This window comes from Homo sapiens, chromosome 19 (genome assembly GCF_000001405.40).
Source record: "Homo sapiens chromosome 19, GRCh38.p14 Primary Assembly".
Taxonomy (NCBI): domain Eukaryota; kingdom Metazoa; phylum Chordata; class Mammalia; order Primates; family Hominidae; genus Homo; species Homo sapiens.
The window spans coordinates 13,127,467-13,155,352 of record NC_000019.10 but is presented as its reverse complement, the minus strand read 5'-3'; the positions used below and the strand labels follow the sequence as shown (position 1 = coordinate 13,155,352).

Here is a 27,886-nt window from a genome sequence, read left to right as displayed (position 1 = left end):
GAAGATACGGGAACTGGGGACTAAAGAGCCCTTCAAAGCTCACCCGCTCAGCTCCACCTGATACTGTAGGGCCCCGGCCACAGCTGATTCAGTTTGGTCTAGGGGGTGGGGGCGAGATCTACCACCTTTCAAGGCTTCAAAGTGCGTGCAATCGATCCCCAGCTCCGCTTGGGGCAGTGTGTTTAGCACTATTGTCTCAACTCAGAAAGCCCCGATCTCCCTGTCCCGGAGTTGTAGGACAATTTCAAGGGAACCCCCAAATCTGGGGGAGGCGGGGCTCCACCAGTTAGGGAATGCCCGGGCAAGGAAAAGGGGGCCCAACCCTCTCTCGCCCACGTGGTAACCGGTCAGACCGGTTCTTGGGGCCCCAGCGAGCGGCTGCCAGCCCCTGACGCTTTAACCCCGCCCCTCCCCCACCACAGCAGAAAACCAGACAGCACCGGCTTTTTTACTCAAATGGTTTTTATTTTCCTATCTGACATTTCTAACAAAACGCCAGGTAGACGGAGTTAAAAAGAATCCACCGCACGAAAGGTAAACAAAGCAGACCCTCAGAAACTCCCTGGCAAGGATGTTCCCCTCCCCAGATTGGCCCAGTTTCACCAGCAACTGGTCTCAGCTCAGCCTTATGCCTTTCCACTGACACCCCCCACCCCTCCACATTCTCGTGATTCAGACCAGGAACTTCTCGGCTGATTGTGTCCGTGTGTCTGAGGGAGGGGCACGCTGGAACCTGGGAACCTACTGGGCACCTCTAATGCAGATGAGAAAAACTTGAGAATGTGAAAGTAGATCAGTCCCCGCTCCCACCCGAAGGTGCAGAGACGCGGGACATTAACCAGCAGCACGCGGGGGTGAAGTAACTCAGGCCACTCTCCTCCCCACTGCCCAGGGCGGGTGCACGCCCCAGGACCTCCTCCCAGGCCCCACACCCACGCAAGGCGACAGGAAGCTCCCCACGCCTGCCCCATGACGCAACGATGACCGCTTATACAAGTATGTCAGCGGAGGGGGAAGGGGAGTGCCTGGAATTCTCCGAGGTTGGAAACGCAAAACCAACTCTTGAAAAACCTTGAAAGGGCCAGCACAGCCCACAGTACAAAATGAAGTCCGACCCTGAGGAGATCTTTAAAAACAAACAAACAAACAAAACAAAAAACACAACACCCAAGCCTCCCTTCTCCCAGTCCAGAAGGAGAGCGAAAGGTTCACGTCCCAGTCCACTAAGACAGCACCTGTGGGCGCAGGTCTCTGCGGAAGGCGCCCGCGCCCCCGGCTCAGACTCCTCGGTGCCGTCCCTGCACACTGAAGGCGATGGCTCCCCGGGGACAGAGTCCCTCTCCGGGCCTCTCAGCAGCCCGGGCGGCGGCTTCTCTCCACGGTTTTCGCGGGCGCTTCCCCCAGGATGGAGGGGGGTGGCCTCGCCTCAGGTCTGCGCCCTCGGGCCGACGGTTCGACGCGCGCTCTGGGCTCCGGCAGCGCCGCTCGGGGTCCTCAGAAGGCCACCACGGCCCGCACGAGCACGTTGAGCATGCTGTCCGCCGGGCGGCAAGCGGGCTTTGCCTCGCACGCGGGCGGCGCCGTCGGAGGGGCCGCGGGGCTGCAGTTCAGGAGGCCGGAGAAGCGCCTCTGCAGGACGCGGGCCAGGTTGGGAAAGGCGCCCTCCGCTTGCGCCGGAGGGGGCTGCAGGCGATCGGCGACTTCGGATGACGCTCCCTCCTCTTCTTCCTTTTCTTCCAGACGGGCTTTCTTGCTCGGGACCAGTCCAGCGTCCCCGCCGTCGCTCAGGCTGCTGCTGCGTCGTTTGCGGCTGACTTTGGCGGGGCGCGGGGCACAGCAGGCGGAGGTCTCCTCGGCTGTCGGCGCCTCCTGCGTGTCCATTGGCTCCGGAAACGGGTGCTCACCGTCGGGGGTCGCTGTCTCGGCCGTGGACTCGGCTTCTCGGGGCGGGTGCAGGCGAGGGTCAGAGGGGAGGGCGGCCGGCAACGACACCTCGGGCTCGAGGGCCTCCACCTTGGCCGAGAGGTAGAGCTCCCGGGCGCTGCGCATGACCAGCGACAGCTGCAGACTCCGGTGCAGCCGCAGGCCACCGCGCTGCATGCGGGAGTGATACATCTTCCACACCGACAGGGTCATGATGCGCTGTGCCTCTTTCTGCACTTCCATGGCGACTCGACGGCGACAGCGGCGGGGGCTCCCGGGAGGGACAGAACAGGCAGCAGGTGCACTCCGGACAACGGGCTCGCTCACGCCTCTCTACACAAACCAACCCACGCAGTGACACTGCTAGGACGCTCTGCCCAGGCGCCCGCCACCCAGGCCCTTTTATACCCCCAGTGACGTCACTGAGACACCCCGCCCAACCGAAGGACGCATCCGGGCTTTCCAACTCGTCGCGGCCAAACACTCCTTAAAGAGACAGAATGCGATTTACCCAGCAGGGAAAGGGGACGGGAACCCTGGCGAGGAGGAGCGTCCCCCGACTCCACGCTGAGCTTTCTGGGTGGGCTCCTTTCTCTGAGCCCCGCCGATGCATCAGCGCCTTGGCCCAAGGGAGGGGGGCCGGGGGTGGAGCTCACGGCCTACCCACATGCTCCCGTCTGGAGGCCCCAGTGGGTCGTGGGCAGCAAGTTTCCCTTCACACAGGGGAAGACCCTGGTTCCAGCCTGAACATCCCCTGTGGCCACTGTTCTTAGCATTTACCAGGTGTGTCTAATGAGTGTTTTCTGCACCAATAATCATGCTAACAGCGCTTACAACGTGCCAGGCTAGGTTAAGAGCTCTCCTTTTATCAATAATTCACCGATCCCCAGCCTCCACTCCTCGGAGGATACTGTTCTATCTGCTTCCTTCAAGTGGGGAAACCAAGGCAGAGTCACTAGGCCAATATTTACTAAACAAACAATATTTGCTACTGCTGTGAAAGGGGGCCACTGGGGCCTCCAGCTCTTCGGTCTCTAGCGTACGCCAGCCCTTGCTTGTAGGCGGTGACCCGCCCCGGGCTACGGGTTCCCGTGATTCGTACCAAGCCATTCCCCCGCAGTTTCCCGCGACAGGAGCTCCACGGGTGGGTTCAGAGCTCGCACGGCTGCGAACCCGGCGCGCACGACAGTCCCCGTGAACACGTGGCTGCCGCCCCCCAAACAAGGGGGCCGAGTTCCGTCTCCGCGTTCGGGGAGGCGGGGTTAGGTTGGGAGCTGGAAACCCAGCAATGCAGAGACAGAGCAGATAGAAAATCTCCGCCCTACCCTCCGCTACGCGCCGTCTCTCCAAGAAATACTAATTCCACTTCCTCCAAAAATAGGATGCAGAATTGTTCGAATGGCTCCATTCATTCCTGGTGCGGGCCCTTTAAGGGGTGGTGCGCCCCCCGCCCCCTTTCCGCCCGCACTGGCTCGCGGCGCCTTCCCGCCACCAGCGCCCGCTGACTTCCACAACTAAATTTGGACGGAGTGACGTAGGGCAGTCGCGCGGGCCGCTTCCGGTTGCCCATATTAGGACAGGGCCCGTGATCGCCTTAGCGGCCGGCGGCGGGGCTTCCGGGGGGGGGGCGCGGAGGGGCGGGGCTTTGCGCTCCGGCCACGCCCCTCCCCATCCCCGACCCGGGCAGCCGGAGCAGGCTGGAGCCCCAGGCTTCCTGACTCGCATTCCAGCCGGGTGGGGGAAGAGGAGAGTTTCACTTCCTTCCCTCCAGGGGCCAGGAAGGCGTGACGCCAGGAAAGCACCCCGCAGCGGGTAGGGGCGACCTGAGGGCTCCCAGGGACGCCATCTCCCAGAGACGCTGCAGAACGACCCTGCATACACAGGAGACGACCCGCTGAGGCCCCCTTCATCCCATCTCTCCTCTTCCCAATTATTTCCCCCATACAAGGCCCCCTCCCAGGTTATTCCTGACCCCTGCCCCACACTGATCTTCTCAGGCCTTGGGACACCCTCCCGTCCCGCCCTTCCCCCGCACGCTGGGAACTCAAAAGTTATTCCCCCCTAAAATACCCTTCCCAAACTCGTCCCCATTCAACGATGGTGCCAGACTGCGACGACCTGCCGAAGACGCAGGCCGTCCCCACCCCGCTAACCTTACCACGGAGACCCCACAATGATTTCCCCAGCCCAGGCGCTATCTCTGAGACCCCACGCAGCAACTCTGACGCGCAAGGGGGCGACCCTCCGAGGACTCCCTCAGATAACCCGCCCACCCTCCAGGGGAGACCAGGCCCCCTATCACTCAAAAAAAGTGCTTTCCCGAAGCTCCCCAACACACAGCGCCACTGTCACACATAGGGACGACCCTGAGTCCCTCCGCTGATATTCCTGGCCCCTACCCAGACGGAGACCCCACACACAGAGGGCCCCCCTGGAGACCATCCTCAAAGCCACCACCCGCTACCCCCAGGCTCGCACCCAGAAAGACTCCGCGCTTCTGAAGAAACCCACCTCCACGCACTTTCTCAAAGGTGACCTCCCCCCGCTGCTGGCATATCTGGGACCCCCTCACGACCACCTCGCCCCAAGGCGACCTCGAAGTGCCCCCAACTCCGCCACTTCTCAGGAAAGAGATTGGGAGAATGCGGCAGAACTCCCCGGAGGAGCAGGCCCGCTCCTCACCGCGCCCCCGCAGGGAGAAGGGAGGACCACCTCTCCCCCAGACCCTAGCCAAACCTGACACTCGGGACCCTGGGATGGGACGATCTCCCAGGTGCCAGCTCAGGGAGTCCATGAAAAGCTTCAACGAATCGAATGAGCCCCTTCCCCAGCCATAATACCCAGCCGCCAGAGATGAGGGAGGCTATCATTATTTACATTGCCCGTGCCTGGAAGGGAAACTGAAGTTGCGCAGGAACAATCCGAGGAACTGGGCCTTGAACCGAAATTCCGAACTCGGACCCGAATAGGCCCAGACAGAACTCCGACACCGCCCCCTACGGTGCGGCACGAGAGGGCTAAGGGGCGGGGGCATGTGCACCGGAAGCTGCCTCTGCCCACAACCAAGATGGCTGAGGAGAGGGCGGAAGTGTCCGCACGTCGGGCCTCCGAGGCTTCTCTTTCTCCCCTGGCGGTCCGGCTCTCGATGGTGGCGTGACGGGGGCGGGGGTGGCGGCGCGTTCTCCTCGGTTGGGAGGGAACCAGCCCGCGAACCCAGGCCGGGAGGGGGGTTCGGCCTGGGGGGGAAGGGACTGACATGTCTCTCGAAGACCCCTTTTTTGTAGTCCGAGGGTGAGTGACAACGACGGGGGAGGGCGGAGGGTGCTCTGTACCCAAGCCAGCCAGTGCCCGGGTGCCGGCCCCAGCGTGCCCGGCGGGCTGGGCAAGGCCGTCGGGGTGCAGAGTGGGAGGCGCACGCAGGGGTATATAGGGGTCTCCGGAGTCCCCCATGCGTTTGGGTTTGCAGTCGGGGGCAGAGGCAGGCGGGAGGACCGCCTGCCCCCAGCCGCGCCCGCCGTGCCCCTGCCCGCAGCGAGGTGCAGAAGGCGGTGAACACGGCCCGCGGGCTGTACCAGCGCTGGTGCGAGCTCCTGCAGGAAAGCGCGGCGGTCGGACGCGAGGAGCTGGACTGGACGACCAATGAGCTGCGGAATGGCCTGCGCAGCATCGAGTGGGACCTCGAGGACCTGGAAGAGACCATCGATATCCTGGGGCTTTGTGGCAGAGGGTGGCATGGGAGAGCCCATTGCGGTGGCAGCCCACCTTCGGGTAGGGCTGGACCCCTAGGGACGGGGATGATATCTGGCTCCGGCCTTGACCCTTGACTCTCAGCCCACGTATAGTGGAAGCCAACCCAGGCAAGTTCAAGCTCCCAGCCGGGGACCTGCAGGAGAGAAAGGTGTTCGTGGAGCGGATGCGAGAGGCAGTCCAGGTCAGGAAAGGTCCTGCAGGCGGGGAGTGGGGGAAGGTTTGAGTGTGTTTTTTTTTCTTTCTTTCTTTCTTTTTTTTTTTTTTTTTTGAGACAGAGCCTCGCTCTGTCGCCCAGGCTGGAGTACAGTGTTGCAATCTCGGCTCACTGCAACCTCCGCCTCCCAGGCTCAAGCGATTCTTGTGTCTCAGTCTCCTGAGTAGCTGGGACTACAGGTGCCTGCCACGATACCCGGCTAAGTTTTGTGTTTTTAGTAGAGACGGGGTTTCACCATGTTGATCAGGCTGGTCTCGAACTCCTGACCTCAGGTGATCCACCCGGCTTGGTCTCTCAAAGTGCTAGGATTACAGGCGTGAGCCACCGCGCCCAGCCTGAGTGTCTTTCCTCCCTAATGCTGTCCTTACCTCCAGGAAATGAAGGACCATATGGTCAGCCCAACAGCCGTAGCATTTTTGGAGAGGAATAACAGAGAGGTAAGCCTTCCTGACCCACCCTGCCCACCTGAGCCCCTGGGGGTAACCAAGCCAGATCCCTCTGTGCGTGTTCACCTGTCCCTTTTGCGACAGTGCCCGTCCTCTCTGTGGGCAGTTATCTTCTTGCTGTCTACCTGCCTGCACTTTCTCGGTGTGTGCACCTGAACCTCTCTATGTGTATATGTCCGTGGGTTCCTCTCTACTGTGTCCTCTGGGTCTATACTGGTTTCCTGTTGCAGGAGAGGGCTGGGGGCCTGTGTACCTATCTCCTTTCTGCTTCCATGCCATTTGTCCTGTGTGCACCTGTTTCCAGGACGCATGCCTGCCTTTTACTCTTTTTTTTTTCTTTGAGACAGAGTCTTGTTCTGTTGCCCAGGCTGGAGTGCAGTGGCTTGATCTCAGCTCACTGCAACCTCTGCCTCCTGGGTTCAAGCGATTCTCCTGCCTCAGCCTCCCAAGTAGCTGGGATTACAGGTGCTCGTCACCATGCCAGGGTAACTTCTGTATTTTTTTTTTTTTTTTTTTGAGATGGAGTTTCACTCTTGTTGCCCAGGCTGGAGTGCAATGGTGCAATCTCGGCTCACCGCAATCTCCGCCTCCTGGGTTCAAACAATTCTCCTGCCTCAGCCTCCCGAGTAGCTGGGATTATAGGCATACGCCACCATGCCTGGCTAATTTTGTATTTTTAGTAGAGACGGGGTTTCTCCATGTTGGTCAGGCTGATCTTGAACTCCCAACCTCAGGTGATCCACCTGCCTCAGCCTCCCAAAGTGCTGGAATTACAGGCATGAGCCACTGCGCCTGGCCTAATTTTTGTATTTTTAATAGGGTTTTGTCATGTTGGTCAGTCTGGTCTCAAACCCCTCACATCAACTGATCTGCCTGCCTCAGCCTTCCAAAGTGCTGGGATTACAGGCGTGAGCCATCGCACATAACTTCCTTTTTTTTTTTTTTTTTTTTTTTTTTGAGATGCAGTCTCACTCTGTTGCCAGGCTGGAGTGCAGTGGCGCAGTCTCGGCTCACTGCAACCTCCGCCTCCTGGGCTCAACGATTCTCCAGCCTCAGCCTCCTGAGTAGCTGTAATACAGGCACATGCCACCACACCCGGCTAATTTTTTTTTTTTTTTTTTTTTTTGAGACGGAGTGTTGCTCTGTCGCCCAGGCTGGAGTGCAGTGACGTGATCTCGGCTCACTGCAGCCTCCGCCTCCCGGGTTCAAGCAATTCTGTCTCAGCCTCCCGAGTAGCTGGGATTACAGGCACCCACCACCATGCGTGGCTAAATTTTGTATTTCTAGTAGAGACGGGGCTTCAACATCTTGGCCAGGCTGGTCTTGAACTCTTGACCTCGTGATCCACCTGCCTCGGCCTCCCAAAGTGCTGGGATTACAGGTGTGAGCCACCACGCCCGGCCAATTTTTGTATTTTTAGTAGAGACGGAGTTTCATCATGTTGGCCAGGATGGTCTTGATCTCCTGACCTTGTGATCCACTAGCTTCAGCCTCCCAAAATGCTGAGATTACAGGCGTGAGCCACCGCGCCCGGCCAGCTTCCTTTTTTTTTTTTGAGATGGAGTCTTGGCATGTTGCCCAGGCTGGGGTGCAGTGGTGCAATCTTGACTCACTGAAACCTCCACCTTCCGGGTTCAAGCAATTCTCCTGCCTCAGCCTCCTGGGTAGCTGGGACAACAGGAGTGTGCCACCATGCCCAGCTAATTTTTGTGTTTTTAGTAGAGACAGGGTTTCCCCATGTTGGCCAGGCTGGTCTCAAACTCCCTACCTCAGGTGATCCGCCCCCGCCTTTTCATCTGTGCATGCACCTAACCTATTTGGGTGCGTGCACTTGGCCTCTGAGTGTATCTGCATTTTCCCCCCTCATATCCTAATATCTGCTAGTTTCCTCTGTAATGTGCCTGCCGTGTGTGTGTGTGTGTGTGTGTGTGTGTGTGTGTTTCTGTGTTTCTCCCAACCACCTCTGTCAGTCCACTTTTTCTCTTGGTGTTCTCTGTTGATATTTTTCATATGTTGAGAACCACCAGCCTTTCTCTCTCCCTCATAAGCGTACGTGGGGTCGGGGAGGGTGGGGGACTGAGGCTCCTCCCAGTTTGTCATCCCATAGCAGTGCCCACGTGCCTTCCAGATGTGCTGCCTTGGGGGAATTCAAGTCCAAACTCTAAAATACATCTGTTGGAGCCGGGCACGGTGGCTCACACCTAAAATCTCAGCACTTTGGGAGGCCCAGGCAAGTGGATCACCTGAGGTCAGGCGTTCGAGACCAGCCTGGCCAACATGATGAAACCCTGTCTCTACAAAAAATACAAAAATTAGCCAGGCGTGGTGGTGATCACCTGTAATCTCAGATACTTGGGAAGCTGAGGCAGGAGAATTGCTTGAACCCGGGAGGTGGAGGTTGCAGTGAGGCGAGATCACACCACTGCACTCCAGCCTAGGTGACAGAGCAAGACTCTGTCTCAGACAAACAAACAAACATCTGTTGGGCCAGGCATGGTAGCTCACGCCTGTAATCCCAGCACTTTGGGAGGCTGAGGCAGGTGGATCACTTGAGGTCAGGAGTTCGAGACCAGCCTGGCCAACATGGGGAAACCCTATCACTAGTAAAAATACAAAAATTAGCTGGATGTGGTGGCAGGTGCCTGTAATCCCAGCTAAAATCCCCCCAAAAATAAACAAATAGTAAAATGTGACATTTACTAGCATTACTATGTGTTGGGCACTGCTGTAAGTGTCCCCCATCAATTAATTCTTTAAATCCTCATTTCAACCCAGGAAACACGGATTCTAGCTCTTCCCATTTTATTTTATTTTTTTTTTTTTTGAGGCAAGGTCACTCTGACACCCAGGCTGGAAATGCAGTGGTGCGATCTCAGCTCACTGCAACCACCGCCCCCCAGGTTCAAGCGATTCTGCTGCCTTAGCCTCACAAGTAGCTGGGATTACAGGCATGCACTGCCACACCCGGTAATTTTTTTTTTTTTTTTTTTTTTTGAGAGAAGGTCTTAACCTGTCACCCAGGCTGGAGTGCAGTGGTGTGATCTCGGCTCACTGCAACCTCAGCCTCCCAGGTTCAAGTGATTCTGACCTGCCTCAGCCTCCCTAGTAGCTGGGATTACAGGCACCCGCCACCAAGCCTGGCTAATTTTTGTATTTTTAGTAGAGACGGGATTTCACCATGTTGGCCAGGCTGCTCTCAAACTCTTGACCTCGTGATCCATCTACCTCGGCCTCCCAAAGTGCTGGGATTACAGGTGTGAGCCACTGTGCCCGGCCCAATTTTTGTATTTTTAGTAGAGATGGGGTTTCACCATGTTGGCCAGGCTGGTCTCGAGCTCCTGACCTCAAGTTATCTGCCCACCTCCACCTCCCAGAGTGCTGGGATTACAAGCATGAGCTACCATGCCCCATCCTGCTCTCTGCATTTTACAGATGAGGAAACTGAGGCACAAGGAAGCCAAATGATGGGGTCTCTGGGTCACCTTGCTAGTAAGTGGTGAGTGGGGAATGCAGGCTGTCCTGCCCCAGAGTCTGCCCCCCTGACTTACCACCGTGGGGATTTGCCCCACAGGCCCCGCTGTGAGTTGGGGTCTCTCCCTGAGCCTATGTTGTGTGCCCCTGCAGATACTCGCAGGCAAGCCAGCTGCCCAGAAGTCACCCAGCGACCTGCTGGATGCCAGCGCAGTCTCGGCCACATCTCGCTACATCGAGGAGCAGCAGGCCACACAGCAGGTTTTGGGGCCAGCGGGGTGGATCTTGGGAGGGGAGAGCCTTGCAGACTGATCTGAGGTCTGGGGTCCCTTTTTGTTGTTGTTGTTGTTGATATGGAGTTTCGCTTTGTCGCCCAGGCTGGAGTGCAGTGGCGCGATCTCAGCTCACTGCAACCTCCGCCTCCCAGGTTCCAGTGATTCTCCTGCCTCAGCCTCCCTAGTAGCTGGGATTACAGGCGCCCACCACAATGCCTGGCCAATTTTTATATTTTTAGTAGAGATGGGGTTTCACCATGTTGGCCAGGCTGGTCTCGAACTCCTGGCCTCAAGTGATCCGCCTGTCTCGGCCTCCCAGAGTGCTGGGATTACAGTCATAAGCCATAGCGCCTGGCCTTCTGGGGTCGTTTTCAACAGCATCTCCCACCCCTTCGCTCTGCAGCTGATCATGGATGAACAGGATCAACAGCTGGAGATGGTGTCTGGGAGCATCCAGGTTCTGAAGCACATGTCCGGCCGCGTTGGAGAAGAGCTGGACGAGCAGGGCATGTGAGGCCAGGACCCTGGGGGTGGGCCAGGGGCTCTCGGCCACCCTGGTGTGTCTGGGCCATCTGGGGCTGATGCCATCCTGTTCTTGGCAGCATGCTGGATGCCTTCGCCCAAGAGATGGACCACACCCAGTCCCGCATGGACGGGGTCCTCAGGAAGTTGGCCAAAGTATCCCACATGACGAGTGGTGAGTCCCCTCAGGGGAGGGGTCAGTCCTGGTGGGGGCAGGTTGTAGGTGGTACCCTCTCCCCGTGACCCCTGACCTTCTCGTTCCCAGACCGCCGACAGTGGTGTGCCATCGCCGTGCTAGTGGGGGTGCTTCTCCTCGTTCTCATCTTACTATTCTCTCTCTGACCCCAGCCCTCCCTGGCAGGCTGGTCCCTTAAGCCTGGGGAGCCACCAAGCACTTTGGAGCTGGCCTCGCCCCCTAGGAGGAGAGGGTCCCTCCTGGGTAGCTGGAGAGTAGAGGGTCCCGCCTGGGGAGCTGTCCCCATGGCTCTCCCCTAGAGCCAGTGGGACCCTTCAGGACCCTGGGCTGGAACCACCACCACTGGTCCTGTCTCAAGTGCACTTAGGGGGTGGTGGAGGCAGGGACACCTGAGACACACCTGTCTCCATTTCCAGTTCCAGGACCCCAAAGCCATTTGCCCCTGTGCCTTATACACGTGCCAACCTGGAAATAAAATGTCAGCCTTTTTTATACGTATTTGTGTCGTGTGGTGTGTGTTGACTGCAAATGCGTGACCGAGCCCTGATTGGGACTCCCATTCTAAGCCACTGCTTGCACAAGTGCTCCAGTGTGTGTGTGCACATGTGCGTGTTCCGGATTTCTTTTTTTTTTTTTGAGACAGAGTTTCACTCTTGTCACCCAGGCTGGAGTACAGTGGTGCAATCTCTGCTCACTGCAACCTCCACCTCCTGGTTTCCAGCAATTCTGCCTCAGCCTCCCAAGTAGCTTGGATTACAGGTGTGTGTCACCACACCCAGCTAATTTTTGTATTTTTAGTACAGATGGGATTCCTCATGTTGGCCAGGTTGGTCTCAAACTCCTGACCTCAAGTGATTTGCCTGCCTCAGCCTCCCAAAGTGCTGGGATTACAGGCAGGAGCCACCGCACCCATGCGAGTCTTTTTTTTAATGGTTTAGGTTCTCTTGATCTTTTTATTTTTATTTATATTTTTTTGAGACAGAGTCTCGCTCTGTCGCCCAGGCTGGAGTGCAATGGCGTGATCTCGGCTCACTGCAACCTCTGCTTCCTGGGTTGAAGCGGTTCTCATGCCTCAGCCTCCTGAATAGCTGTGATTACAGGAATGCTCCACCACACCCAACTAATTTTTTATTTGTAGTAGAGATGTGGTTTTGCCATGTTGGCCGGGCTGGTCTTGAATTTGAACTCCTGACCTCAAATGATCCGCCTATTTCAGCCTCCCAAAGTGCTGGGATTACAGGCATGAGTCACTGTGCCTGGCCTATTTTGGGTTTGTTTGTTTGAGACAGGGTCTCTCTCACTCTGTCTCCCAGGTTGGAGTGCAGTGGCATAATGATGGCTCACTGCAGCCTGGAACTCCTGGGCTCAAGGCAGCCTTCCACCTCAGTCTCCCAAGTAGCTGGGACCACAGGCACATGCCACCTCGCCTGGCTATTTCATTTTTGTAGAGACAGGGTCTCCCTATATTGCCCAGGCTGGTCTCAAACTCCTGGGCTCCACTGATCCTCCTCTCTCAGCCTTCCAAAGTAATGGAATTACAGGTGTGAGCCATCATGACTGGCTTCTATGTTATTATTTATTTATTTTGAGATAGAGTCTTGCTCTATCACCCAGGCTGGAGTGCAGTGACGCAATCTCGTCTCACTGCAACCTCCACCTCCCGCATTCAAGTGATTTTCCTGTCTCAGCCTCCTGAGTAGCTGGGATTACAGGCACCCGCCACCACACCCAGATAATTTTTGTATTTTTAATAGAGACGTGGTTTTGCCATGTTGGCCAGGCTGGTCTTGAACTCCTGATCTCAGGTGATCCACCTGCCTCGGCCTCCCAAAATGCTGGGATTACAGGCATGAGCCACCGTGCCCAGCCCAGTTACTTTAATCTTGTGTTATCTTTGAGTCTATGGGGACCCACGGTGCATCCATGGTTTTTCCTACTTGATAGAACCATTTGTCCTTTCATATTCTTGGGACCCTCTTGTTCACCCAGATATTTCCAATATCGGTTAAATTTTGTGATCTCGTTTTTTTTTTTTTTTTTTTGAGACTAAGTTTTGCTCGTCACCTAGGCTGGAGTGCAATGGTGCGATCTTGGCTCACTGCAACCTCCGCCTTCCAGGTTCAAGCAATTCTCCTGCCTCAGCCTCCTGGGTAGCTGAGATTACAGGCGCACTCCACCACGCCCAGCTAACTTTTCTATTTTTAGTAAAGATGGGGTTTTGCCATGTTGACCAGGCTGGTCTCGAACTCCTGACCTCAGGTGATCCATCTGCCTCAGCCTCCCGAAGTGCTGGGATTACAGGCATGAGCCACTGCGCCCTGCCGATCTCTTTTATGTTCTTTTAATGCATGAATGCTCTTCTGAATGCGGCGTGGAGTGTGTGTGTATGGGATGTGTTTCTGGGGCTTGGCATATCAGCCACGGCACAGGCGGGCACCGAGTGAGCCAGTGTTGCTGTAAAATTGACAGAGCCACAGCTCCCTTTTTTTTTTTTATTGAGATGGGATCTGACTCTTGCCCATGCTGGAGTGCAGTGGTGCCATCATAGCTCACTGCAGCCTTGACCTTCCCAGTTGAAGTGATTCTCCTGCCTCAGCCTCCAGAGTAGCTGGGAGTACAGGTGCATGCCACCACACCCAGCTAATTAAAAGTATTTTTTCAGGCTGGGTGTGGTGGTGGCTCATGCCTGTAATCCCAGCACTTTGGGAGACCAGCCTGACCAACATGGAGAAACCCCATCTCTACTAAAAATATAAAATTAGCTGAACCTGGTGGTGCATGCCTGTAATCCCAGCTACACAGGAGGCTGAGGCAGGACAATCATTTGAACCTGGGAGGCGGTGGTTGCAGTGAGCCGAGATCGCGCCATGACACTACAGCCTGGCAACAAGAGCGAAACTCCGACTCAAAAAAAAAAAAGAAAAGAAAATGCTGGGCGCGGTGGCTCACACCTGTAATCCCAGCACTTGGGGAGGCCAAGGCGGGTGGATCACCTGAGGTCAGGAGTTCGAGCCCAGCCTGACCAACATGGTGAAACCCTGTCTCTACTAAAAATACAAAAATTAGCCGGGCATGGTGGTGGGTGCCTGCAATCCCCACTATTTGGGGGGGCTAAGGCAGAATGGCTTGAACCCAGGAAGCAGAGGTTGCAGTGAGCCGAGATCGCGCCACTCTAGCCTGGGCGACAGAGTGAAATTCCATCTCAAAAAAAAAAAAAGAAAAAAAAATTGTGTGTGTGTGTGTGTGTGTAGGACCAGCTCATATGTTGCGTTATCTGTATCTGTTGGGGTAACTTGCATGCGTGTTAGAATCGGAGGCTGTCAGTTTGCAGTCAGCAACCTGGGTCTGCTGGGCACAATGCAGGTGTGTGTTCCTCCCTGGGCCCCCAAGTAACGAGCATGCGGCAAGGCTGTTACAAAGGCGTTTAGTTTATTCTCATCAGTATCACTGATATTCTCATGGTTCACATTTGCCAACGCCGCTCCTCTCCTTACAGTAGTTAAATGTGCAATCTCACTTGGGGGCCCAGGGAGGGGTGGGGGCTCGGCCCAGGGTGGGGAGGGCGTTGGCACTTCACGTGGACAGGGTGGGCAGCCTGTCCTGCGTGAAAGAGGTGTGGGTTGAGTGGGCGGCCAGGGAAGGGGAGTTGGCAGGGGAGGGCCCCACAGTCTTTTTTCTCTGGTGGTTGGTGATTCTCCATTCAGATTCCTTCCTGGCTGCCCAGGGTGGGGGAACCATGCAGCTCAGGGCAGGGGAGGAAGAGAAGGAAAAAGCAGCAGGCCGCCCAGGGGTAGGGGTGGAGGGTGAATGGCAGGGCAAGGGGGGTACAGGGGTGGCTCCTGGGGTAAGGCACAACCCTGTCTTTGGCTCTCCTGGTGAGGAGTTTCCTCCCCTGCACCCCCTGCCCGACCCTTCTCCCCACCCCCCCACCCCCCGGACCCACACACAGTCCTGGGAGCCAGGGGGCACCTCCTGGGGTCCCTGAAACAAGTGGGCTCTGCCACCCAAGCCAATGCCACAGGGGCTCGAGGAGGGACACCCGAGGAAAAGGCAGAGAGGGGCAGGCAGGGGCCTACCCAGGACAAGGGGGTGGGGGTGAGAAGACCCCAGGCCCAGGAGCTGGCCCCCCCACCCCAACTAAGGCCTGGAAGTGGGGGAGCACCTTCCTTTCAGGGGTCTGGCTGGAGCCCCGGTCTGCCCCTCGGCCTCCGTCAGGCCCAGCCGCTTGCCAAGTGACCAGGGCATTGTGCTTTGGGGTAAACGCTGGGGTGGGGTGGCAGGCCAGGAGGCGGGGGGAGAGGAGGGGTGACTAAGGTGCTTGTGCTTTAGCTGGGGGTGTCAATATCCCCCACTCAGGCCGGCTGGGGGCTAAGGTTTCAGGCCCCGGCCAGGAAGACAGTGCCAAGACCCCAGCCAGACCCTGGCACTCATGACTGACCCCCGCAACAAGCAGATGTTAAGAGGGACCCCCAGTGGGCCGGCGGGGCTGCTGGTCCCATCGGGGGGATGGTCTCCAAATCAGATTACAAGGGTCCAGTAGGGGCTGGCCCCCACCCCATCTCCTAAAATCCCCCTGCCCCTGGAGAGACCCCTGGGAGCAGTGGGTAGGTGGGGGTTGGGGAGGCAGATGAGAGGCAGGGAGGACGAGGGCCAGAAACACAAACAAGGATGTGGATGTGGATGGTGAAATGACACCCTGCATAGGGGGATGGGGAGTTAAAAAAGAAAAAAAACTGCCTTCACATGAAAATCTAAAACAACAACAAAAAACCACCCACTCTGGGCGAGAACAAAAAGAGAGGAATGGTAAAAGAGAAAATTCTGCAAACAACTGCTAACAATGGAAGTGGACCCGGCCCTGCCCTGCCCTGCCCAGCCCCCAGGAGCTGGGCCCAGCCAACCAGCCAAGGCCTGGGACACCCTTAAACTATAGCCCTGTTGGGGAAGGTGAACAGGGGAGGGGGACCCACAGGACCCACAGGAGCCTAGGCAGCAGCTGGGACTGGAGTCCTACCATGGAAACACACACACACACTCCACACATACACACCCACACACACACATTCAGCCTGCCCCCCAGCCCCCCAACACCGCCCTGCCTTCCAAGGCCCCCCACCCCTGGGGACCGAGGGGGACAATAGACACAGCCCCATTGGTTTGAAAAATAAAAGGAATCTTATACTTCAATATTTCATTCGCTAAAAAAAGGTTTTAAAAATTATGTACAGGGGGGTGGGGGCCAGGAGCCCTGCTGTGGGGTGGGGTGGGTGTGGGGAGATGGAGGGAGGGGCAACAGCCCCCCAGTCTGCTCCCCTGGGTTCCAACCCAGGTCCTACTGCCTCTTGTATCTTCATTTGTTTGAAAGCAAAACTTCTGCACACACACACGCACACACTCTGCCAGCCCTGGAAACCTCTCATTCTATCCTCCGAGACCCTCGGTCTGCCCCCAGGAGACCCCCCCTCCTTTAGGACCTGCCTCTCTGAGGCCCCAGAGGACCAAAGGGAGCAACAGAGGCGGAAGAGGAGAAAGGGCACCAGGCACGCCACTGCCGGCCACCTGAGGTCGGTTGTGCAATTTCTCGGAGCCTGTTTCCCCAGCTATAAAATGGGTAGTCCCCACGGCCTCGCCTACCCCAGCCCCCAGGCGCAGGGATAGACGAGGGTGACAGGAAGGCGCTTTTGGAGACGTGGAAGCACTGGGAGGTGGTGGGAGGGGTCCTGAGAACCCCTGGGGCCCCCCTCAAGTCCCAAGGGGCTGCAGTGAGGGGCGGAGGCTGAAGGCTTCCGCGAGGTGGCCTAGGGCCTGGGGAGGGGCCTTCCCAAGACCCCCAGGCCAGCCCCCTCCCCTGGTGGGCCTGGTGAGTGTGGAGATGACGGCTAGGGGTTAGGTTGGGGAGCCAGAACTCCCCCACTGCACGAGTGTGTGTTAAAGAAGGCAACACGGACCTCACGCCACCTGCCCTGCGGTCCTCTCCCGGCCCAGCTCTCGGTGGGGAAAGGGGGTAGGACAGGAGGGGCAGAGGGCCGGGAACATGCAGCACCCACCGCGGGTCCTGGGGAGGGACAGACAGTAGCTCATGACCAAGATGGCAGGTGTGTGTGTGTGTTGGGAGGGGAAGTGTGTGGCCCCGCGGGAGGCTGGGCGGGTTACTGCAGGGCTTCAGCCGAGGGACCCGCCTCGCCCTCGTGGCTGGCGGTCTCGAAGCCATGCTCCACACCCATCATGTCCGGCTCGATCTTGCCCGTTTCACTGATGAAGGTGGTGTAGGCGTCATCCTCAGCCTTGAGCACCTTGACCTTGGGCATCCAGCTCTTGCGCACGACGCGGCGGGCGTTGGTGCACATGTCGGCCGCGATGGCATTCATCTCGCTCTCCTTGAAGTTGGGGGCGAAGTTCTGGCAGTAGTCTGTGGGGCAGGGTGGGTGCGGCCTTGGCACGGGGGCCAGGTGACTCCCACAAGGCCTACTCACCAGCTCCCCTACAGCATCTGCGACTCCCTCTCAAAGGGGAAACGAGTGAGGCCACGCGGCCAGGACACCACACTACGTGCACCCAACCCTACACCGGACTGAGTTCAGCCATGTGTGGGGATGTGTTGGTTTTGATGGGATGGCCCCGTGTTCTTGAAAAATTCGGATCATTTGCCAGAATTTAGTAACGGGGAGTGGTCACTTGAAAATCTAGATGCCCCCCATGACGAGTGGCTAGCACTGTCTGGCTGCCTCATCCCTCCCAGACTGCCCTGAGTTCGAGACCCTCCTGCCTGACACAGGCTCCCTGGCTTCCCTTCGGCACGTGCATCCCCCAAACACGAAGAAATCTCTAAGCAATCACAGCCGGTTTCCCAGCAAGGCTAGAATGAGCCCCAGAATGCTTCTCAACACTGAACTCTAGCCCTCTCTGAGAGCCAAGGCTGGGAAAAAACGTCAACCTGCGTGCCCCGGGCCCACGCCTCGTCCAGCTGGGCCAACACTCACACTTGACAGCGTGGAGCACGCGGCTGTCCAGGGGCTTCCGACGGGGATCGTTGGTAGAAGAGCGGATGCCGGTGCCGCAGCTGTTGGCCAGCGTGTTCCTGGGGGCAGGGGACATGGAGGGAGTCAGCGCTCAAGTTGGTGGTGGGGGGGACATGGGGAAACCCCACCCCCCTCCCTGGGGCTCTGGCAAGGGCCTTACCGGTCAAAGAAGGAGGCCAGGAGCCGCCGCAGTAGGACCTTGTGCCGCGTGCCTGCGCTGACGTGGCAGTTCATCAGCTGCGCCCTTGTGATGTACACGTTGGTGCCTGGTGAGAGGAAGCCGGAGGATGGCCTGGGGTGCCCCCAAACCGCCACAGCCCCCATGATACCAGGCCTCATCTCAGAACACCCCAGGCCCTCCCTGCTGGGCTCTGGGTCCCAAGAAAACTCACCCAGGGACCTTCTCCCCTACATCTCTACCCACCAAGGGCAGTCAGGGGAGGCTCCTTGGGGCTCCCCCAACCTCATCAGTGCTCAGGAAAGGACAGAAAGGGTTGCTTCACCATCCTCGGGGTGCCTGCTGTGTGGCCAGTCGTGCCGCAAGCCTGTGTGAGGTGGGCACGCTGGCTGTCACCAGCTAGAGATGAGCCCAAGCTCAGCAGGACCAACAGGGAGTGGAGGCTCACACCTAGGCACTCTGACCCAAGGACCAAACACAGTCTTCTTCTTCTTTTTTTAAGAGATGAAGTCTCACTCTGTCACCCAGGCTGGAGTGCAGTGGCCACCACAGCTCACTGCAGCCTTGACCTCCTGGGCTCAAGGGATCCTCCCACCTCAGCCTCCTGAGTAGCTAGGACTACAGGCATTCGCCCCTGTGACTGTCCAAATTCCTAACCTAGGTAGTAGCTGGCCTTCACAGGAGCCCGGGAAGTAGCTAATCTACCCATGCGGCCAAACAATAATAGCCAATGCTCGCCCCGACCCCTTAAGCCAGAAACCTAGAGGCCAGGCCTTGCTGTATCAGCTCCTCCATCTCACCAACGCCCCCACCCTTAGGGTGGCTGTTACCAACACTACAGCACAGATAGGGAAACTGAGGTGCTGGGGGCTCCTAACCAGCTGCCCAGCCCAGCCCAGGCCAGCCGGCTCCAAAGCTGCGGAGGGGAGAGATCTGGGGCGAGACCGGCCCACCTGTCACCAGCTCCAGCTTCTCAGAGGGGTCGCCCTCGTCGTAGAGCTTGGGGTGGCAGCGGTTCCCAATCTGGTTGATAAGTTCAGCCGGGAGAGACGCCAGGTCTTGCCGAACCCGGATGCGATTTCGGGACTCGGGGGCTACCTGCTCCGGGAGGGCCTCCACCTTCTCGGCTGCAGGGAGAGAGTGGCACGCGAGTGGCAGGAGGAGCAGGGGTGGCTGGTGGGATGGGGGACAGGACGGCACCTCACCTGTCTGGCCGACGTTCATCATGCTGTACATGGTGTACATGTTGCAGATCTGCCGGTACTGCTCATCCATGCCCTCCTCGCCACCATCCTCCTCCTCGTCCTCCTCATTGTGGTAGGAGCCAGGGCTGTCGCTGGTGTAGGCGCTTGAGGTGCCTGGGCTGGTCCGCTCCGACGTGCTGGGCCCACTCACCACACCCCCTGCTGCTGCCACCCCACCGGCTGGCTGCCCTGCTCCCGCAGCCACGGCGGGCTGGGCTGCTGCCACCACCGGAGCCTGTTGGGGTGGCGGGGGCTGGTGAGGCCGGTTGGCAGCCAGGTCCGGCGTGGAGAACTTGGCCATCTTGCGGCTGCCATTGCCGCCGCCCCCAGCCTCCTTCTGGCCACTGTCCCACAGCCGCTTGGCCACGGGCATGCACTGCACGGAGTCCGACTCCTGCTGCTCCGTCTTCACCCGCGACACGAGGGGCAGCGGGGTGCTACAGGCTGGCCAGCCCGATGTCTGCGCCACGGGGCTCTGGGGCTCCGACGATGGGGCCTCCTCCGCATGCAGGCCCTGGGAGTCGCAGCTCGGGGAGCTCACCTTGAGGAAGAACTCGGTGCCCTTCTCCATGATCTCCTGGATCTGCAGGAAGCCAGCCGTGTACATGAGCAGGAACTGGTCGCCCACGTTCATGCTCAGCCGGCCCGTGTAGCAGAAGCTGAGGATCTGCTGGAAAGACTGGGGCTGCACAGCCGCCGGCAGCTCCACCACGGCGCTGCGGCTGTTGTTGAACAGGTCCCGGAAGTAGGAGCTGCTGGCAGCAAGCACGGCCCGGTGGGCCTTGAAGGCATGGCCCTTGACCACCACTGACACGTCACAGTACAGGCCCTGCAGCCGCTGTTCATTGAGGCACTCCAGGATGCTGTTGCCGAAGTTCGGGATCTCCATCTGCAGTGTCTGGGCCATGGCAGCGGCTGCACGAGGGGCAGGGAGGAATGGAGAGACAGAGACGGAGGGACGGGGTCAGGCGGCAAATGTGGGTGCTGGCCTAGCCCTGGCCCCAAAGACCTCCCCTGCTGGAGGGACATCCGCACGATGGAATCTACCATGGTGCTAAACCACACAGAGCCCTCTACCCTATCTGTCCTGGTACAGACTCACTTTTACAATATGTGGTCAAATCTGCTAAGCTAGCTGCAGACCAGGGTGGCCACACGCTATCCCTTGCAAAGAGGAGGGGGCAAAGGCATACTTATTCATATGTACTTGAAGAGTAACTGAATATGCTTAAGTGCTCGGAAGAGTGGCTAGGACACAGTGTGCTACCTCTGAGTGCCAGCTATTGCAAGCACCAGGTACATATATGGTATCTCTTCAGGGTACTGGCATGGAAATGCCAGAAAGGCAGGGTCATCTGACTGTGCAGCAGAGTCTGCAGTGCTGGGCACATGCCCTTCAATCACTGTTTGTATAATGACTAAATGACCACTCAAGAAATTACATGAGGTCAGGCGCAGTGGCTCACTCATGTAATCTCAGCACTTTGGGAGGCTGAGGCAGGCGGATCACTTGAGGCCAGGAGTTCGAGACCAGCTTGGCCAACGTGGCAAAACCCTGTCTACCAAAAATACAAAAATTAGCCAGGTAAGGTGGTGTGGGTATGTAGTCCCAGCTACTAGGGAGGCTGAAGCCAGATAATTACTTGAACCCAGGAGACAGAGGTTGCAGTGAGCCGAGATTGTGGCACTGCACTTCAGCCTGGGGCATAGAGTAAGACTGTCTCAAAAAAAAAAAAGGAAAAAGAAATTGCATGAGGCTGGGTGCAGTGGCTCATGCCTGTAATCCCAGCACTTTGGGAGGGCAAGGCGTGTGGATCACTTGAGCCTAGGAGATTGAGACCAGCCTGGGCAGCATGGTGAAACCCTGCCTCTTACGAAAAATACAAAAATTACCCCGGCATGGTGGAGCACACCTGTGGTCCCAGCTACTAGGGAGGGTGTGGTGGGGGGTGGATCTGTTGTTGAGCCCAGGTCAAGGCTGCAGTGAGCTGTGATTGCGCCACTATACTCCAGCCTGGGATACAGACAGAGACACTGTCTCAAAAATAAATAAATAAATAAATAACTTACATGAAAACATCTCTAGTCATCAGGGAAATTAGAAGAAAACATCATCAGGGAAATGCAAATCCTAACCACAATGAGACACCATCTCACACCCACTAGGATGGCTGGAATCAAAAAAGTTGGTGAGGATGAGAAATCCAGAACCCATTTCCACTGCTTGTGGGAATGTCAAATGGCACAGCCACCATGGAGAACAGTCTGACGGTTCCTCAAACGGTTAAAGAGAGTTACCATATGACCCAGCGATTCCACTCCTGGAATTTATGCCCAGGAAAAACGAAAACATTTGCCTGCATTGAAAACCTGTAAACAAACGTTCACAGCAGCATTATTCACAATAGCCCAAAGGTGGAAACAATCCAAACGTCCATCTGCGGATGGATGGGCCAACTAAACATGGTCAGTCCATACAATGGGATATTATTCAGCTATAAAAAGAAAGGAAATTCTGACACATGCTACAACATGGATGTCCCTGGAAAAGATTATTCCAACAGAAAGAGGCCAAACAAAAGGACCACAGATTGTATGATCCATTTATAGGAAATGTCCAGGACAGGCAAATCCACGCAGACAGGAGGCAGATTAGTGGTTGCCAGGGGCTGGGAGGCGGGGAGAATGGGGGTGTGGTGAGGGAAAGCAAAGGGAAGGCAAAGGTGTGTGGGGTTTATTCTTTTTTCTTTTTTTTTTTTGAGATGGAGTCTCACTCTGTCGCCCAGGCTGGAGTGCTGGGATTCCAGGTGTGAGCTATCACGCCCGGCCTCCTCTGTAATTCTATAGGGTCTCTAGAGGGCAGTGGTCCTAACTGGGCAGAGTGCGAGTGAGAAGGCTTCCCTGAGTAAGGCAGATCTTTCCAGACACTCCAGCTGGCCAGCAGGAGAAAGTAACAAGTACATGCAAAGGCCCTGGTGCAGGAATGCACACCTTCCCTCCCTTCCAGTTAGCTCTCAAGCACCTTCCATGTTTCATTAGCAACTCCACTCAGATCTGCCTCCCTGGGCTGGGCACTGAGAATACAGTGGCCACTCTCCTCCTAATCTGGTAACACCCGTTCCGTCTGAAAGGGCTGCTGTGAGGAATAGAAACGGCAAGTGTTCAAAGGCTCAGAGGTACAACCTAAGGTTGAGTCCTGGCTCCAGCACCGACCTGCTCCTCTGACCAGGAGCTCCAAATCTCTGCTTTCTCCATTTGGAAATCGAGGCTGAGGAGGTCAACCTGATTCTACAAACTCAACCTACACTTATTGTTACTGAATGATCATTCAAGAAATTACACGGAAACATTACTAGTCATCAGGGAAATGTGAATCCTAACCACAGTGAGATACCATCTCACTTACTGAGCTGCTACCCTGGCAGGCCACAAGCAAGACACAGGCCCTGCCCCTTACAACACCCAGGCGAATGGAGGAACCAACTCACAACTTCTATGAGCTCCCCGAATCCTCTTAGCAAGACTTCAGGGCTGGTTTCATACTCCCCTTGCAAAGCTGGAAAAACTGAGGTCATGTGGAAATTGAGGACTGTCCTGAGGTCATCTAAAAATTCATTCACCAGGTTCAAAATTCAAAAGATATGTCCTGAAGGGCGGGATGACTCAAGCCTGTAATCCCAGCACTTTTTTTTTTTTTTTTTTTTTTAAGACAGAGTCTTGCTCTGTTACCCAGGCTGGAGTGCAGTGGTGCCATCTCGGCTCACTGCAACCTCCGCCTCCCAGGGTCAAGTGATTCTCAGCCTCCTGAGTAGCTGGGCCTACAGGCGTGTGCCACCATGTCCGGCTAATTTTTGTACTTGTAGTAGAGATGCGGTTTCACCACATAGGCCAGGCTGGTCTTGAACTACTGACCTCAAATGATCCACCTGCCTTGGCCTCCCAAAGTGTAGGATTACAGGCATGAGCCACCACACCTGGCCAATCCCAGCACTTTGGGAGGCCGAGTCAGGTGGATCACCTGAGGTCGGGAGTTCGAGACCAGCCTGGCAAACACGGTGAAACTCCATCTTTATTAAAAATACAAAAATTAGCTGGGTGTGGTGGCCGGTGCCTGTAATCCCAGCTACTCGGGAGGCTGAGGCAGGAGAATCACTTGAACCCGGGAGGGTGGAGGTTGCAGTGAGTCAAGATTGTGCCATTGCACTCTAGCCTGGGCAACAGAGTGAGACTATGTCTCAAAACAAAAACAAACAAAAAAACCCAAGATATGTCCTGAGCTATCTGCTGCCCCTACCACTTACATGCAAAAAGTGGTAAGGCCAAGATTCAAACCAGGGTCTGCCTAGGCACCACAGCCTGTGACTTCCCTTGCTTGTATCTTCCTTCCTCTTCCCCTCCTCAAAATCACTGCCACCATCCTACGAAAACACAAACAAAACAAAACAAAACCCCAAAACCTCCTTAGGGCAATCAGAGGGTGGAGGCTGGATCTAGGAATCCCAGTTACAAGGCAACAAAAATCTCCGCCCAGGAGCTCAAACTCAGAGCTGAATGGGCCAGGAGCTGGCCACTCTGCATGAAGAGGCAGGAGAAACAGGCACCATGTTGGGGGGCAAAGGACAGAGCCCAGAGAGCCTACTTCAGGGGTCCTGGCAGCCCTGAACCACCTCCCTGGGCAGCCAAATTAAAGCCACCCCTGGTACTGGGGCCCACATGACAAGGACCAAGATGGTCAAGGGAAGAGGCTGGCATCCCAGTTCCTAGAGGGGTGCTCCAAGCTCATTCCCCAGGGAGGAGGACAAAGCCAGGACAGGTGTGCAGTGCTGCCAAAATCCTGCACCTGCCTGTGCCTCAGTTTATTCATCTGTAAAATGGGCTGTTCATCCAACCCATCCTGATGAACTGCATCCTCCTTTGTGGGAGGTGCTGGGGACACAGCCCTAAAAGGACCAGCTGTGCTTATGTGGAGCTGTCTAGTGAGGAGACACCGGGGATGATTTAATTACAGTTGGGGTGGGTATGTCAACCAAGCAGATGGCCTTGGTGGTAGGGACCATAAAAGGTTGAGCAACTGCCAGGACAGAGATAACACTTCTGGGCGGGAAGGTATCAGGTGTGGTCCAGGGACCCAAAGAAAGCTGGTGTAGCTGAAGGGCGATGTAGCAGGGACAGGGCTGCCAGGAAGGGTATGGGACAGGTGGGGTCCTGGCCTACAGAGTGTGGACATCTTTGAAAGTGAGCCCCAGGGTCAGGGCAGCATTTTAAGAGTTATATGTACAGGCCAGGCGCGGTGGCTCACGCCTGTAATCCCAGCACATTGGGAGGCTGAGGCGGGCAGATCACCTGAGGTCAGGAGGTCAAGACCAGCTTGGCCAACATGGTGAAACCCCGTCTCTACTAAAAATACAAAAATTAGCCGGGTGTGGTGGTGCACATCTGTAGTTCCAGCTACTCAGGAGGCTGAGGCACGAGAATCACTTGAACTTGGGAGGTGGAGGTTGCAGTGAGCTGAGATCGAGTCACTACACTCCAGCCTGGGCAACAGAGTGATACTCCATCTCAAAAAAAAAAAAAAAAAAGAAAAGAAAAAAGAGGTGTATGTACAGTTAACCCCTCCAAGGGCACTGTCAGCTCAATGAAGGCAAACATTCTGGCTGGTTTTATTCAAGATTAGTTCTTTAGAATGAAATAGATGCTCAGTAAATATTTGTAAATGTGTTAAAGAACAGTGCAGAGAGGCTGGGCACGGTGGCTCACGCCTGTAATCACAGCACTCTGAGAGGCAGAAGCAGGAGGAGCCCCTGAAGCCAGGGGTTCAAGACCAGTCTGGGCAACATAGTGAGACCCCTATCTCTACAAAAAATTTTAAAATTAGTGGGGCTTGGTGGCTTGCACCTGTAGTCCCAGCTACTTGGGAGGCTCAGGTGGGAGGATCACTTGAGCCAAAAAGTTAGAGGCTGCAGTGAGTGATGATTGTGCCACTATATTTCAGCCTGGGTCATAGAGCGAGACCCTGTCTCTAAAACAAAAAAAGCAAAAACAAAAAACCACATCCCCCGACCCCACTACCCCACCAAAACCAACCAACCAACCAGCCAACCAAACAAACAAACAAAACAGTGCAGAACGGGCACAGGACTGCTTCAAGGTGACCTTACCAAGCACCCAGCACCGGCCACAGGTAATTTTTTTTTTTTTAAAGACAGGGTCTCACTATGTTGTCCAGGCTGGTCTTGAACCCCCCCATTTGGCAATGGAGACTGAAAGGTTACGGGGATAATAGGAGGCAACAGAGATGTGGGGGTTGGGAAGGTGGCCCAGGTCCCCTCCTGAGAATGAGAGCCAACCTGATGCTCAGACTGAGGTCCCCCATACCTTGTGAACCTCAGCTTCAGAGCCCAGCACCACAGCACCCAGGGCTTTGGAGCCTTTGATTAGCAATTGGTCCAAATAGCTCAGCCAATTAGCGCACGGGAGCTCTCCCTCCCTCCATGCTGCTGGGGACGAGCGGAGTGGGGCGACGGGTCTGTGAGCCACAGTGACCTGAATGCTGTTCGTCTAGTTCCCCAGTGGCCCCCGCACAGAGTGGACAGGGGTGAGCTGCAGTGTGGGCCAGAGCAGACCCATCTCTGGGAACCCCTCCATCCCTCTGTGATTGGCCCAATCCGGCCCAATCCTGCCCAATGGACTCAGGAGAAAAACTATGTGGGCCCCTGCAAGAAGCCCTCACCCACGCTAGCCCCAGGAAGGGAGCTAGCATGACTGGACTCAGAGGAAACGGGTCTCTCGCTGGCAGGTCCCTAGCAGGGTCACCTGCTGGCTGAAGCAGGGGTGGGATGGAGTCGAGGATTGAGGTCTCTAAACCACCTAATGGTTCTAGTCCCCACCAAATCCCCACCTAAGTCAGGCTCAAACACACTGCCTGGTCCTCCTCTACTGCAGCGAGGCCTTTGCCCAAGCTGTGCACCCTGCCTGGAATACCCTCTTCCTCCACCCTCAGCTACTCACTTCTCCAGGCTAGAGAAGATGTCCCTCTCCTGCCCCACCCCGGCCACAGTGCCCTTAAGCTTACCTCTGAGGAAACTAAGTCCCACTTGACTATAAACTCCCCAAGGGCAGAAAACCATATGAGAATCATCTCTCCTTAAAATTCAGCATATCAGCACCCCTGAGGGTGTGGGGGACAAGGGCAGGAGGCCACAGGGCAGCTGGGACCTTCCTGGCCAGGACAGTGCCTAGTCCTGGCCCTGGGCCTGAGCAGATCTTCTGGTGAGACCCAAGGGCACAGCACACGGTTTCCATGACTTCCCAACAACTACTCAATAAATATTTGCCAGGTCCCTGCCTGGGCAGGCCACAATGGTGACAAAGTAGCCCTGCCTCTGGAGCTCACAGTCCAGCAGGAGACAGGGCCATTCATCCTTGGTCACACAGATCAATGTGCTACACACTGGGGTGCCTGACCTTGCCCAGAAGGGGTGACACTGGAGCTGAGATCTAGGAAGGGCAGTAGTGGATGGGGAGTGTGGCCCTTCCAGAAAGGGTTTTCACCTCCAGGGGACTGGGCTCAGTCTCAGGGCTCTGCTATGGACAAAGTATGTCCCTCCAAATTCACAGATTGAAACTCTGAGCCCCAATGTGCCTGTATCTGGAGATAAAACCTTTGGGAGCTAATTAAGGTTAATTGAGGTCATAACGGTGGTATTAAGAAGGCAGCTGTCTGCAAGCCATGAAGAGAGCCCTCACCAGAACCTGACCACGCTGGCACTCTCATCTAGACTGCCAGCCCCCAGCACTCTGAAATATAAATGTCTGTTGTTTAAGCCACCCAGTCTGTGATATTTTGTTGTGTGGCAGCTTGAGCTGACTAAGACAGGCCTGAAGCACCATCTATTCACTGATGCCTCCCCCACTGGAGTCTTTGGCCCGGACTTCCCTGTGAATGCCAGACTCGCACACACCCCAGACACCTCCACTCAACAATTTCAGGACCTGGCTCCAGTCCTTCCCAAAACCTGTGAATGCCGTAGCTTCACCAGCTCTGGCCCTCCTCATTCAGATCCTTGGATTCATCTTCAACTCCTTCAAAACCACTTTGTACTACCTTGGCCCCAAGTGACACTGCCTGGGCCCCTACAATGCTTTATTGGGGCCCCTGGCAGTCTGGCCCTGCTTGCTCTCGGACCTACTAGAATGGGAATGGGACAGCCATAGCTCTTCATACTCTCCCTGGTCACATAAAGCCCTTTCTCTACTCTTTTGCTTTTGGAGACAGGGCCTTGCTCTGTCACCCAGGCTGGAGTACAGTGGCACCATCATAGCTCACTTCAGCCTCAAACTCCTGGGCTCAAGCAATCCTCCCACCTCAGCTTCCCAAATAGCTGGGACCACAGGAGCTACATCCAGCTAATTTTTTTTTTTCTTTTTTTTTTTGAGGCAGAGTCTCGCTCTGTCGCCCAGGCTGGAGTGCAGTGGTGGGATCTCGGCTCACTGCAAGAATCGTTCAAGCGATTCTCCTGTCTCAGCCTCCTGAGTAGCTGGGATTAAAGGTAACCACCACCATGCCTGGCTAATTTTTCTATTTTTAGTAGAGATGGGGTTTCACCATGTTGGCCAGGCTGGTCTTGAACTCCTGACCTCAAGTGATC

General features: G+C 56.3%; 3 protein-coding genes across 9 annotated transcripts in view, besides 10 other annotated features; 1 reads left to right on the top strand and 2 right to left on the bottom strand.

The window, feature by feature from the left end:
- Positions 1-441: 441 nt before the first annotated feature.
- IER2 (immediate early response 2) lies at positions 442-4,942 on the bottom strand. Its single transcript, NM_004907.3, has 2 exons — positions 4,801-4,942; positions 442-2,409 (listed from the first exon to the last, which is right to left on the bottom strand). The coding sequence occupies exon 2, from the start codon at positions 2,164-2,166 to the stop codon at positions 1,495-1,497; it is 672 nt and encodes a 223-aa protein (NP_004898.2). The 5' UTR covers positions 2,167-2,409; positions 4,801-4,942; the 3' UTR covers positions 442-1,494.
- Positions 1,178-1,267: an enhancer, noted in NCBI's record as "active region_14115". NCBI's record gives its function as "activates an Ori minimal core promoter by ATAC-STARR-seq in GM12878 lymphoblastoid cells {active_cell/tissue: GM12878}" and the evidence as "EXISTENCE:reporter gene assay evidence [ECO:0000049][PMID:35858748]".
- Positions 1,328-2,211: an enhancer, noted in NCBI's record as "NANOG-H3K27ac-H3K4me1 hESC enhancer chr19:13263956-13264839 (GRCh37/hg19 assembly coordinates)". NCBI's record gives its function as "activates a minimal SCP1, AML or CMV promoter by ChIP-STARR-seq in naive H9 embryonic stem cells {active_cell/tissue: H9 hESC(naive)}" and the evidence as "EXISTENCE:reporter gene assay evidence [ECO:0000049][PMID:30033119]".
- Positions 1,438-1,547: a silencer, noted in NCBI's record as "silent region_10198". NCBI's record gives its function as "represses an Ori minimal core promoter by ATAC-STARR-seq in GM12878 lymphoblastoid cells {active_cell/tissue: GM12878}" and the evidence as "EXISTENCE:reporter gene assay evidence [ECO:0000049][PMID:35858748]".
- Positions 2,198-2,527: an enhancer, noted in NCBI's record as "active region_14114". NCBI's record gives its function as "activates an Ori minimal core promoter by ATAC-STARR-seq in GM12878 lymphoblastoid cells {active_cell/tissue: GM12878}" and the evidence as "EXISTENCE:reporter gene assay evidence [ECO:0000049][PMID:35858748]".
- Positions 3,308-3,667: a silencer, noted in NCBI's record as "silent region_10197". NCBI's record gives its function as "represses an Ori minimal core promoter by ATAC-STARR-seq in GM12878 lymphoblastoid cells {active_cell/tissue: GM12878}" and the evidence as "EXISTENCE:reporter gene assay evidence [ECO:0000049][PMID:35858748]".
- Positions 4,808-4,877: an enhancer, noted in NCBI's record as "active region_14113". NCBI's record gives its function as "activates an Ori minimal core promoter by ATAC-STARR-seq in GM12878 lymphoblastoid cells {active_cell/tissue: GM12878}" and the evidence as "EXISTENCE:reporter gene assay evidence [ECO:0000049][PMID:35858748]".
- Positions 4,898-5,097: an enhancer, noted in NCBI's record as "active region_14112". NCBI's record gives its function as "activates an Ori minimal core promoter by ATAC-STARR-seq in GM12878 lymphoblastoid cells {active_cell/tissue: GM12878}" and the evidence as "EXISTENCE:reporter gene assay evidence [ECO:0000049][PMID:35858748]".
- On the top strand, positions 4,978-11,295 carry STX10 (syntaxin 10). 5 transcript variants are annotated; one of them, NM_001271609.2, is made up of 8 exons: positions 4,978-5,214; positions 5,456-5,625; positions 5,760-5,854; positions 6,262-6,324; positions 9,958-10,065; positions 10,483-10,585; positions 10,682-10,776; positions 10,867-11,295. In NM_001271609.2, exons 1-7 carry the CDS (start codon positions 5,180-5,182, stop codon positions 10,768-10,770), a joined length of 663 nt encoding a protein of 220 aa, NP_001258538.1. In that variant the 5' UTR covers positions 4,978-5,179; the 3' UTR covers positions 10,771-10,776; positions 10,867-11,295. The 5 variants fall into 5 exon arrangements, with proteins under 5 accessions (NP_001258538.1, NP_003756.1, NP_001258540.1 ...); NM_003765.3 differs by having other exon boundaries at positions 10,483-10,589; NM_001271611.2 differs by lacking the exon at positions 6,262-6,324 and having other exon boundaries at positions 5,760-5,780; positions 9,968-10,065; positions 10,483-10,589.
- Positions 5,218-5,377: a silencer, noted in NCBI's record as "silent region_10196". NCBI's record gives its function as "represses an Ori minimal core promoter by ATAC-STARR-seq in GM12878 lymphoblastoid cells {active_cell/tissue: GM12878}" and the evidence as "EXISTENCE:reporter gene assay evidence [ECO:0000049][PMID:35858748]".
- Positions 5,418-5,467: a silencer, noted in NCBI's record as "silent region_10195". NCBI's record gives its function as "represses an Ori minimal core promoter by ATAC-STARR-seq in GM12878 lymphoblastoid cells {active_cell/tissue: GM12878}" and the evidence as "EXISTENCE:reporter gene assay evidence [ECO:0000049][PMID:35858748]".
- Positions 11,296-14,205: 2,910 nt separating the features above from the next.
- Positions 14,206-27,886, bottom strand: part of NACC1 (nucleus accumbens associated 1) — a 24,296-nt gene continuing 10,615 nt past the window's right edge. For all 3 annotated transcript variants that reach the window (XM_005259721.4, NM_052876.4, XM_047438118.1), the window contains 5 exons: positions 19,200-20,153; positions 18,948-19,121; positions 17,977-18,082; positions 17,778-17,875; positions 14,206-17,206 (listed from right to left, as the gene is read on the bottom strand). In XM_005259721.4, the coding sequence (XP_005259778.1) occupies positions 16,947-17,206; positions 17,778-17,875; positions 17,977-18,082; positions 18,948-19,121; positions 19,200-20,145 (1,584 nt within the window). In that variant the 5' untranslated portion in view covers positions 20,146-20,153 and the 3' untranslated portion in view covers positions 14,206-16,946. The remainder of the gene's footprint in view (positions 17,207-17,777; positions 17,876-17,976; positions 18,083-18,947; positions 19,122-19,199; positions 20,154-27,886) is intronic.
- Positions 17,475-18,394: an enhancer, noted in NCBI's record as "H3K27ac-H3K4me1 hESC enhancer chr19:13247773-13248692 (GRCh37/hg19 assembly coordinates)". NCBI's record gives its function as "activates a minimal SCP1, AML or CMV promoter by ChIP-STARR-seq in primed H9 embryonic stem cells {active_cell/tissue: H9 hESC(primed)}" and the evidence as "EXISTENCE:reporter gene assay evidence [ECO:0000049][PMID:30033119]".

Excerpts from the sequence above, each read along its gene's own strand:
- IER2 (NM_004907.3), bottom strand. The coding sequence starts at position 2,166 with ATGGAAGTGCAGAAAGAGGCACAGCGCATCATGACCCTGTCGGTGTGG.
- STX10 (NM_003765.3), top strand. The coding sequence starts at position 5,180 with ATGTCTCTCGAAGACCCCTTTTTTGTAGTCCGAGG. Across the intron at positions 5,855-6,261 it reads GGATGCGAGAGGCAGTCCAG|GAAATGAAGGACCATATGGT; the intron begins GTCAGGAAAGGT and ends CCTTACCTCCAG. Across the intron at positions 10,777-10,866 it reads AGTATCCCACATGACGAGTG|ACCGCCGACAGTGGTGTGCC; the intron begins GTGAGTCCCCTC and ends TCTCGTTCCCAG.